Raw genomic sequence first — 12,638 nt, 5'->3', positions numbered from 1 at the left:
AATAAGATAAGCAGCCCCTGCCTGAATCATGGCAATTTGATCAAAATGGTCTCTGAGATGCTCTCTCTCACCTCTTCTCACAAAGGCACGATAGCCCTATTTGGCTCAAGCCAACTCATAGATTTTACTCATTATTTTTCCTGTTGAACTCTTGGTCCACAGTGAAGATCATTTGCAAATAAAGCTCAGGGTTTCTAAAGGCTTTATGAGACAATCAAACAGGCAGGAATGTAGTCTCCAGTGTCAAATCAGTCTCTGACTATCCATTATTATTCTTTTTTTTTTAATATCACTCATTTTTTTCTCTGTTAAAGTTGTTTCTATTCATCTCACTTTACCACTGCCCAGACCAATCTTCCTAAATTAGCAGAGGCCTGCAGCACCCTGCATGGGGAAGGAAAGTGCGGGGGGGCGGGAATAGACAGACAGACTGTCTGCAGCAAAACTATTTAATTCGAGCTGGTTGCCCCCTCTGAAAAATGATGTCCACATCAGATAAGGAGACGGGCAGTTTAAATTGTTCTATCAGAACCGAGTTGCCTGTTTTTGAAGCTCATTCTAGACAATTGAAAACTGTTCTCTTCTCCTTTTTCTATAACGCAATTGCCCAACTTGAAGGCTGTTTGTGATTGAAGTAGGGGCCACAATAATTTATACAGTAAAAGCCTCTATCTAGATCAAATTGTATATTTTCTACGTAAATATGCTGGGTAAATAGTCCCTCTGTTTTATCTTTAATGCAGTATCTTTATGCATTCTGTCAAGCTAACACTCCTTTGGGAATATTTTACATGCTAGAACACAGGCAACTTGCTACTTATTACATTTAATGTGGTTTGGCTTTTCGCAGATGAGAATATTAAGTGTTATGTCTGCCTTCCTTAGAAGCAGTTTGCCCTGTGAATGTGCATTTGTTGCCCTAATGGGTCTTTTCCTGTTTTAATTAATATGACAACATAGTATTGTCATCAACCAATATTTATGGAGCAACCCTCTAAAGGCTTGTGGCCTGTGCTGGGGGCTTTAATTAAAAGGTCCTATCTTATTCTGGGGATCTATGCAACAGAGATATTCACGCAGCTGTGCAAGGGCAGCTATACAAGGAGCTGGCTGCAGCATCATTTGGTATAGCAAAACAATGGGATTGACTAAATAGATTATTATACAGCCATTAAAGAACTGGATCAATGAGTATTAATTAAAGTGGAAAGATACCCATGATATATTGGGGAATCAAAAAAAGAGAACTGAAAAATATTACTATAGGATGATCCAATTTTCAAGGAGAAAAAAAATCTCAGGCCAGGCACAGTGGCTCATGCCTGTGACCCTACCACTTTGGACAGCCAAAGCAGAAAGATCACTTGAGCCCAGGATGAGACCAGCCAGAACAACATAATGAGACCCCATCTCTACAAAAACATTTAAAAAACAAAAATTAGCCAGGCATGGTGGCTCACACCTATGAGGCGGGAGGATTGTTTAAGCACAGGAGATCAAGCCTACAGTGAGCTATGCTCATGCCACTGCACTCCAGCCTAGGCAACACAACAAGACCCTGTCTCAAAAAAAAAAAAAAAAAAAAAACTCAATATATGCATTGTGTGGATGTGTGGGTATGAGTGTTTGTGTTCACAAGTAGCTGTGCATGAAGCTTCTATTTACATTTCTAAAATCTAGAATAATATACACCTAACTTTGGTCAATAGTAACCCTTTAGGGAGTAATACTAAAGTAGAGGGCAAGGAGATATTTATACTCTATTTCAAACATCTGTATATTATTTGAACTTTCTACAAAGAACATAGGCCTTTTGCAAATAGGAAAAATAAAACATTTCTTAAGAGATAGTATTCATTCCACTTATACACTGTTGGTGGGAGTGTAAATTAGTTCAACCATTGTGAAAGACAGTGTGGTGATTCCTCAAAGACCTAAAGACAGAAATACCATTTGACCCAGCAATACAATTACTGGGTATATACCCAAAGGAATATAAATTGTTCTACTATAAAGACACATGCACATGTATGTTCATTGCAGCCCTAGTCACAGTAGCAAAGACATGGAATCAACCTAAATGCCCATCACTGATAGTCTGGATAAAGAAAATGTGGTACATATACACCATGGAATTCTGTGCAGCCATAGAAAGGAATGAGATCATGTCCTTTGCAGGGACGTGGATGGAGCTGAAGGCCATTATCCCTAGCAAACTAATGGGAACAGAAAACCAAATACCACATGTTCTCACTTACGAATGGGAGATAAATGATGAGAACACATGGACACATAGAGGGGAACAACACACACTGGGGCCTATCAGAGGGTGGGGGGTGGGAGGAGGGACAGGATCAGGAAAAATAACTAATGGGTGCTGGGCTTCATACTTGGGTGATGAAATAATCTGTACAGTAAACCCCACGTTTACCTATGTAGCAAACCTGCACATGTACCCCTGAACTTAAAATAAAAGTTAAAAAAAAGAGAGACAGTGTTCATTTAATAATTATGTATGCTATGTTTATAATCACAGGAACAAGCAAAAGAGAGCCCAAAATAACCAAATAAATAATCTTCACAAATGAACAAAAACTCTTTAAATTAACTATTTTCCTTTGTTCAGGGGGCACACTGGGAGACCCCCTGAACATTCAGGATGGGTCAATCATCACTTCATGAACAATTAAAACAGCAGAACACTAACACCTCCATGCCTAAGGGGTGCTGTGATTTCCAGTTCTTCAATGGAGATGAAGATAAAGAGCTCTATCTCCAGGGCTTCATGAGAGGCTGAGAGGATCCTGGGCAGCTAGAAGAGAAATCTGGAGAAAAAAATAATAAAGATGCAGCCCTCTTAAAAGACTTAGGACTTGAAGCTCTTGATTACACCAGGATTCTATATACCAGATGTAGACTCCAGGATCTACTGTTTTCTGAACACACTGTTCTGTTGAGACCATAAAAATAACCAGATTTCTGGGAATCACTAACAATGGTGTGGAGTAGGGGAGGGAGGGGGACAAAAACCCGACCCCCCCACCTCGAGCATGCCCTGGCATATCATACACAGGTGTGTGGCTGGACTTATGCAAACCAGCCATGATGGAAACTGGGGAGATCACAAATACATCCAAAATCAATCACCTGCCTGGGAAGAGCAATGGAAACATAAGCTTCTCATAATTTTTGAAAAACAGAAAGTTAAAGACAAACATGTTTGAAATCCATAAAATAATTAGTGGTAAAAAGTAAATCAGTGGCATCTCAAATGCAAATTTAACTTAGGAACTACCTTAGAACCTGACCATTAGAGAAGATTCACCTGTCCCAGGCATCCTAAGCCCAGTGGCCAAGGCTGCAAGAGGGACAGCATTTTCTGTTTAGCTCCACTGCGCAGTCAACTTGAAAATGCAAGCAGCCATGCTCTCCTGTATAACATTTTAAAACACCATTGTATGTGGAATTTATCAAGGAAGTTTAATACTCAAAACAATCATTTATTGAGCAGGTACTGTGTGCTGAATAGTGTGCATGGTGCTTTCACATTTATCACTTCACTAACTCCTCACAACTCACCAATGCTTTAATGTGTATTAAGGATGATGATTACGGAGGGTGATGTTGAGTTAAAATAGAGTAAATCCTGCAAGCAAGCAAGAACCCCTTGGGTTACCCAAATTCCAAACTTCACTACCAGGGACTTCAGATTATCTTAAATGCAGAACAGGGTGAACACCCAAAAATCTGTCAATCTGTATATACATTTTCTTTTATTCCTTCCTTTGGTCCAACTCAGTGTTCTTAATTTTTTTTTTTTTTTTAAAGGTTCTCACTCCCATTGCCCAGTCTGGAGTGCAGTGGTGCTATCTCGGCTCACTGCAGCCTCAACAGCCTGGGCTTAAGGGATCCTCCCACCTCAGCCCCTCAAGTAGCTGTGACTACAGACATGCACCACCATGCCTCGCAAATTTTTGTATTTTTTTGTTTTTGTTTTTTCTTTTTTTTTTTTGAGACAGAGTCTCGCTCTGTCGCCAGGCTGGAGTGCAGTGGCACCATCTAGGCTCACTGCAACCTCCGCCCCCTGGGTTCAAGCAATTCTCCTGCCTCAGCCTCCCAAGTAGCTGGGACTACAGGGGCACGCCGCCATGCCTGGCTAATTTTTTTTTTTTTTTTTTTTTCGGTAGAGACGGAGTTTCACCATGGTGCCCAGGTTGGTCTTGAACTCCTGGGCTCAAGCAATCCGCCTGCCCCAGCCTCCCGAAGTGTTGGGATTACAAGCGTGAGCCATTGCACCGGGCCACAGTGTTCTTAATCTTTAATGAGCATAAGAATAACTGTACTGGCCCGGCACCGTGGCTCACGCCTGTAATCCAGGCACTTTGGGAGGCTGAGGTGGGCAGATCACGAGGTTGGAAGTTCGAGACCAGCATGGTCAGCATGGTGAAACCCTGTCTCTACTAAAAATATAAAAATCAGCCAGGCATGGTGGCGGATGCCTGCAGTCCCAGCTACTCGGGAGGCTGTGGCAAGGGAATTGCTTGAACCTGGCAGATGAAGGTTGCAGTGAGCAGAGATTGTGCCACTGCACTCCAGCCTAGGCAACAGAGTGAGACACCATCTCGGGAAAAAAAAAAAAGAAAAGAATAACCGTAACCGTACTATACAGAGTTATTGTACAGGACATTTGTGGGGTTTTGGGTAGAGGCAGACAGGACAATCTGTATAGCATACAACACGCACCAGCCTTGTTGGAAAGCAGTATACCCTTCCTAATCATAAACAACAAGAGAACTTGAGCCTCCCTCTCACCATCTCCCAATAGTCTACTCAACCAATCAGATACTTCCACCCAGGACTTTGAATCTGGAACAAATGAGAAAATAAACAAGAGAAAGTTAGAATCCGAAAGCAGTGGTAGCAGTGGTAATATCTAGCAGAAACAGCAGTGTCCTGGCAAGACTATTACAACTAAAACACTGTAGCTATATATTCAATTCATTAGGCTAGTATAACTTCATCATGAAAATCTGATAAATACAGTACAATAAAAGAAAATCATATCCCAATCTCTCATTCACATGGATATAAAAATCCTAAACAAATATTAACACACCAAATCCAGCAATATAGATCAAGTTGGGTTTAGAGCAGGAATTCAAGGTTGGTTTAACATTAGAAAAATCCATGTATTTTACCACATTCACAGATTAAAGAAAAAAAATTAAGTGACTTTTTTTCATAGTACAGAAGAAGCATTTGATAATATTCATCATCCTTCATGATGGGGGGAGGAAAAAGTTGTAATAAACCAGAAATAGAAGGAAGTTTCCCTAAACTGATAAAGGATATACACTCTCACCAAACATTATGCTTAATGGTAAAATTATGAGAGTTTTATTTTTAAGATTGCAAACAAGACAATGATGTCCACTGTCACTACTTCTATTGAACATTTTACAAGAGGTCCTAGCCAGTGCAATAAGGCAAATAAATAAATAGTGTAAGGATTGGAAAGGAAGACATGAAACTGTCATTATTTGTGGATGATACTATTGTTTATATTTTAAAATCCTTTAAAATCCTTAGTTTATTATAATTAATAATGGAATTCGGCAAGCCTACTACATTTTTTTTAAAAATCAATATATAAAAAATAATTGTATTTCTATATACAAAAAATAATTTTTAATGATACAATTTTCAGTTGCATCAAAAGTAGCAAGTACTTCTTCAAGACCTCCATGGATAAAACCACATAATTATGAAACTATTAAAGAAGACCTAAGTATACTATGCATTTACCTGGGTGACAAAATAATCTGTACACCAAATTTTCATAACATGCAGATTACCTATGTAACAAACCTGCACATATACCTTTGAACCTAAAATAAAAGTTAAAAAGAGACCTAAGTAAATGGAAGCTTTTAATTTGAATGTAATGAATGTTACCAATCTTTTGCTTTATAATTAATGTTTTATAATTCTTTCTCACAAAGACAGTCTTCTGTACTATTTTGCCTTTTACATTTAGGTCTATAATCTGCCTGGAGTTGACTTTTGAGTATAGTGTGACGTAGAGGTCCACTTTAATTTTTTTCATATGGATATCAAATTGTCTCAGCTCTATTTGTTATCCTCCCCCATGGATTGGCAGTGCTAGCTTTACAATAAATCAAGTGTCCATACATGCTGGGATTTGTTTCTTGGTTTTATATTCTGTTCCATTGGTCTATTTGTCTCTCTTTGAGCCAGTATACTGTGCTACGTATACATGATGTTCATGGATTGGAAGCCTCAATGATTGCAAAGATACTAATTTTCTCGCTAAAATGATCCATAGATTCAATGCAATACCATTAGCAAAATCCCAACAGATATTTTGTGTAAATTGAAAGGCAAGTCTAAATTTTATATGAAAAAGCAAAAGGACAAGAATAGTTAAGAAACTCTTGAACAAGATAGAGTACTTTTCCTGCTAGCTGTTAAGATCAGAAAATAAAACTGTTATTAAATGTAGCACAGTATACTGGCTCAAAGAGAGACAAATAGACCAATGGAACAGAATATAAAACCAAGAAACAAATCCCAGCATGTATAGACACTTGATTTATTGTAAAGCTAGCACTGCCAATCCATGGGGGAGGATAACAAATAGAGCTGAGACAATTTGATATCCATATGAAAAAAATTAAAGTGGACCTCTACGTCACACTATACTCAAAAGTCAACTCCAGGCAGATTATAGACCTAAATGTAAAAGGCAAAATAGTACAGAAGACTGTCTTTGTGAGAAAGAATTATAAAACATTAATTATAAAGCAAAAGATTGGTAACATTCATTACATTCAAATTAAAAGTTTCTGTTTATCAAAACATACTAGTAAGAGAAAGGAAATGGAAGCCACAGAGCAGAAATTATTTCCAACACATAAAACCAACAAAGGGCTCACATCCAGAATATATCAAGAAGCCTCAGAAATCAGTATGAGAAACTCAGACAATTCAGTATTTTTTTCAAGACTTGAACAGACATTTTACAAAGTGGAAACCTAAATGCCAGTAAATATGTATTAATAAAAAGGTAATTGACCTCTTTTGTAATCAAGAAATTCAAATGAAAGTCACCAACAAGTTACCCTACAAATCTACCACACAGGCTAAGGCTGCTAAAAGTGTCCTTTATTTGATTATAAGGAAGGGGCCAGAGAGCCACCCTGACTCCATTCAGTTCTGACAGTGACTGTCTCCATGTAACTGAGAAGAGCATTGTTTTAGATATGAGAAATTTACTCGTATTATGAGTGATCCTCCCACTTTTTTGGTAGGCATTCAGATTAAAGCTGATTCCCTGCTCTGTATCACAAAGTCTCAGGATTGGAAGTAGCATGCATGCAAGTTTCTTGTTTCTTTTTCCTCTAATTCTTCTTTTAAACAATTCCGCCCCACCACTCTAGCCCCCTCAAAGCTCTCCTTCCCTTCTAGACTTGGGCTTTCTCCCTGGCTACTGCAAAATCGCATCTTTCAAATGTTGTCTGTGAAGGCCATTTGTTGCAAGTACTAAACTAGTCAGTGGTTTAGACCAATATACATGGTGTCCTAAAGCACATTTTCCACCTTCAAAATTGTCAAGTAACAAGCCCTGATAAAGTCAACTGTGTACCACACCACAGCACTCCCCAGAGAGGCAGATAGACACGGTTAACCCTGAATTAATTGGCAGCTGCTCTTTGGCTGCCTAGAGGGAGGAGATCATCAGAACAACTTTCTGGAAGCCAATCTGTGCCTTGGTGGGAGTCTAGGGCAGTGGAAATCATTACGGACTCATAATACCTGGACCTGGAAACAATTCTGATTATAAATCAAATTTATGAAACATGTTTCATCTTTCAGAAAAATAAAGTCCAAAAAGTTACAGTACATAGTTCAAGCTCAAACAACTGAAAATGGATCAAGTTGCAGAACTCAAACCACCCAGACCCCACTTCTGAACTTCATCCCACTTCCCTTCAGTCTACTTGTCTAACTGGACTGTTCCCATGTATAAACCTTGGGCAAACAACCTGACCAAAAGGATGTCAGACCTTATCTAGTTCATCAAATAATTCAAATGTTGTGCCAAATGCCAATATAGATTTCCCTGCTCTGAAAACAGTTTTTGTCTGCTGCTCATGAGAGAGCTCTCATGCATCCCCATGTTGTCCCATCGTAGCTCTTACAAAAGACTAGCGTCACTGTCCATCGGAGACACAGTCACTGATGTCTTTGTCTTATTCCTTGCACTTGCTCCAGGGACCGCACACCAAGAACACAGCATGGACACAAGGGAATAAGATGCGGCTGGCCTCCCTTCCTCACACCAGCGGCTTCCTTTTTCTTCTTACTCTGAGCACTTGAGTTTCCGATAAAGTGCCCATCTCCCATGACCAAGAAGAGGTCAAATTAAGAATGGTGCTCTCTTTAGCAACTACAAAAGGTTCTCATTTTCTCATCAAGTAAAGTTCCCTAATGGCTGGTATATGAGCCCAATTTCTTACCAGTCCTGAATTGAACCATTTCCCTCTCAGTGGCATGGGCTCCCCGTGGGGCAGATTGTCACAGGCACTGCAGGTGCCAGAAGGAATCAGCAGGAATCATCTCTCCCTTTTAGACTTCTTGCCTTTGGTGTTTTAATTCGGTTCCAAACCTAAACCTTACAAGGGGACTGAGAAATCACAAGCGTCCTTAGACCCTCTGCATCATAAGCTGCAACCCATATTTATTTAAAGAAAATCAGTTCCTCCTTTCTAGGCTGACCTAGAGAAGACAGAGGGTAAATTGGATGAGGCGGGAGAGGGAGCCTCATGTCGAATAAATGACTTAAATAATCATGGTCCAGGGACTCTGGAGCCTCTATATTGATGGCTTTTAAAAGATCTTGGAAATCTACCCCACACAAGCAACAGCCCTTGTACTGAGATACATTCTGTCTCTGGACCATGAAGTTTCCCAAGTGAGGTTTCTGGTCTCCCTACCTTGGCCCTGTGCATGCCACACCCAGCTGTGCCTTCTCCTGCCCAGTCTAAGCCAGGAGCCTGCGAAAAACAACCCAAGGGCCTCCCATTCTTCATGCAGCAGCTCAAAGGCAACTAAGAAGCAGCTGGAACATTCATGAAGCCTTAATATGATTTTAATTTAGGATATTAAGACAGCTGCAGTGACCTCACACTCCTAGCTTTTAAACTCAAGTCTAATGACTCTTTTGCTGCAGCCAATGCTGTCACAACTCTCCTGGCATCTCCTGACAATTTAAACTGCTGGGCCTGGTGAGTGCCCAGTGCTGTGGGTCAACACTACCTTCCCTTACTCATTCTGTCAATATTTGATGATCTCTACTCATGGTCAGTGGATGAAACAGATCATTCATGCAAGTGATTTCATTTCCTCTTCATGTTAAAAATGAGAAACACAGCCTAGACAACATAATGAAAACCTGTCTCTAGGAAAAATAGAATAACTAGCCAGGCATGGTGGTGCATGTGTGTAGTCTCAGCTGCTCGGGAGGCTGAGGCAGGGGGATCGATTGAGCCTGAGAGGTGGAGGCTGCAGTGAGCTATGATCCTGCCACTATACTCCAGCCTAGGTTACAGAGCAAGAACCTGCCTCAAAAGAAAAAAAAAGAGAGAGAGAGAGAGAGAGGGAGAGAAACCCAAAGCCCAGAGGGGTTAAGCGACTTGTCTGAGGTCACACAGCAGTAATGATACCTGATTCCAAGACCGACTCTGGTCCCTGGATGCTGGGCTACCTCCTTCCTAGGGCCCTGCTGATCTGCCACTCACTGGGCTTGCAGTTTGTGCTGTCCTTCCGTAATGGGAGTGAGTGTTCTCCCAGGTCGCCCCCTCTGTCCCTCAGGACCCCCTGTGGCCCCTGCACATGTCAGCCTCACAGGGGGACAGAGGAGCCATCTGAGTTTCTCCAGGGCACACTGGTGGCCACTGGTTCAGCAGCCTCTCATCTGACTCTGATCCACTTAGCCACCTTCTGTTGCTCATGTTGCCCAGATCACATCACATCTAGGTCTCTCAGTCTGGCACGCAGGCTCTCCAAGATCCTGCTCCAGCCTCCGCAGTCCCTGCAACTTCCTCCTGATCCTTATGGTCCAGGAGCTTGGACCTGCGCACCAGCCCCTGCACACCATGACCCCACACCTTGGCTTGTGCTCCTCCTTCTGCCAGGAGCATCCCTTCCCTCCTCACTTCTGATCTCACTCACATTCACCTCCCTTCTCCTGACTAGTCCTCAACTACTCGAATGACCCCTCCTCCAGGAAGCCCCTCTGATTCCACCCTCAGGCCCCTGCCTAGGCTCCATGGTACCTTGCTTCTCATGCCCTACCAAAGTCTTACAGCCCTGTCACATAGCAATCTGGCTGTGTGTCTGTCTCCCTCAGCAGCATCCAGAGTGCAGGGACCATGTCTTACCACACCTGTGTCCTCAGCACAGCCCTCAGCTGACACACACTGGGCTATGCCTGCCCTGGGACTGCCCAGCTTCCCAGCCTGGCAAGGGCACTGGCCCAAAGAAGGCCCCAGGCATCAGCCCCACCGAGGCTCTGCGGTTCTGCTCTGTGCTGCAGACAAAGGCCACGCTCACAAAGGGAACAGTGTGGTCACCTCTCCCAGAGCCAAGAACAAAGGGATGGCACGTGGGCATCGCCTTTGGCGGTGATGGCCACTCTACGCCAGGCTACACACACCTCACTGGTTGCCATGGCACATTTTAATTAAGCATAAGGATTTCGTGGCTTGATAACAGAAAATGCATCTTCCTTTTGCCTCTGGTCTCTTTGGGAACAGACATGGGGGTGTGGAGCTTGGAGCTGATTCTTAGCAAAGGGGAGGGGTCAGAAGGCCCCTGGAGAGACACCCCTGGTTCGGGGAAGACTGCCCCTCTGACATGCTCCTGTGCTCTTGCCTTGGGACTAGTCTCCACTGTCAGGAGGGGTGTCCCCCAAGCTGTTGGGGTTGCCCAGGATGGGCTAAGGATACAGGAGAGTGCTGGGAAGGCTGCTGTACTCTCACCCCCTTTGTCCGTAGTCTCTGCCTCCAACAGGATTCAAAACCAGGCCACAGCAGGGCACAGAAACAGAACAGCAATATGAGCAAATCCTGGCCACACACAGTGGTGCATGCTTGTAATCCCAGCACATTGGGAGGCTGAGGTAGGAGGATTGCTTAAGGCCAGCAGTTCAAGACCAGCCCTGGCAACATAATAAGACCTAGTCTCTACAAAAAAATAAAATTAAAAAAAAAATAGCCAGGCATGGTGGTGCATGCTGATAGTCCCAGCTACTCAGGAGGCTGAGATGAAAGGATCACCTGCCTGAGCCCAGGAGGTTGAGGCTTCACCAAAGGGGCTCTGCCAACAGCAAGCATATGGCTAGTGTGCAGCTGGCCCACATGTATGTGCATACATGCCCATGCGCTGCCATTCCTCAGCCTCATCCTACCACCCACACCTGAGCTGCTTTTAGCCTGAGCCAGTATGCACTTATATTAAGAGCTTGCCCAACGAGGCCTCCCATCAGCACAGTTACACCTCATTTGCACCTTTGAATTGGGCAGAGGGAGCTGAGCAGGGACTAGCAGACCCATTCTGCAGATGTGGAATCTTTGGTTCACAAGGTTAGGGACTCACCCAACCAGGAGTTGAACCAGGATTTGAATCCAGATTTGTCTGACTCCAAAGATCATGGAGTTCCCTCTCCCCCAGGGTGTCTGTTTGACATTCCTTGGACATCCACTGTGTTCTGAGCACTCACTCAGACGTGTATTGAGCATCTACTCTGCATTGAGCCCTTTGGAAGCTCTGGAGAGACACAGATGAGGACACCATCCAGGCTCATGGTGTAGGCCAGAGCTGCCCAATAGAAATAGAATGCCAACCATATACATCATTCCAAATTTTCTGGAAGCCCCATTAACTAAAGAAAAGAAACAGGTAAAATTAATTTTAATAAAAAATGTCTTTCACACACTATCCAAAATATCATTTCAACATGTTAATGAGATAATTTACATTCTTTTTCATATTAAGTCTTAGGAATCTGGGGGTATATTTTACATTTACAATACATCTCAATTCAGACATCTCACCCTGTTTTATCCTGTCGTATTAGTTAGAGTTCTCAAGAAAAATAGAACCATGGATATATAGATATATAACAGGGGATTTATTATGAGAATTGGCTCACGTGATTATGAAAGAAGCCCCCACAATATGCTGTCTGCAAGTTGGAGAACCAGTGAAGCCAGTGTTGTGATTCAGCCTGGGTCTGAAGGCCTGAGACCAGGGACGGAGAGACTGCTGGGGGTAAGCCTTAGAGTGTGAAGGCCTGAAAACATGGATCTCTGATGTCTGAGGGCAGGAGAAGACGGATGTCCCAGCTCAAATAGAGAGAGCAAATTCGCCTGTCCTCTACCTTTTTGTTCTAGTCTGGCCCTAAATGGATTGGCTGCTGCCCACCCACTTTGGTGAGGGCAGATCTTCTTTACTCAGCTCACTGATTCAATTGCTAATCTCTTCTGGAAACACCCTCACAGATGCACCCGGCCAGCTGAGCATCCCTTAGCGATCAAGTTGACATATAAAATTAA

The sequence above is a fragment of the Homo sapiens genome, chromosome 10, assembly GCF_000001405.40.
Source record: "Homo sapiens chromosome 10, GRCh38.p14 Primary Assembly".
NCBI lineage: Eukaryota > Metazoa > Chordata > Mammalia > Primates > Hominidae > Homo > Homo sapiens.
Note: the sequence above shows the minus strand (reverse complement) of the source record.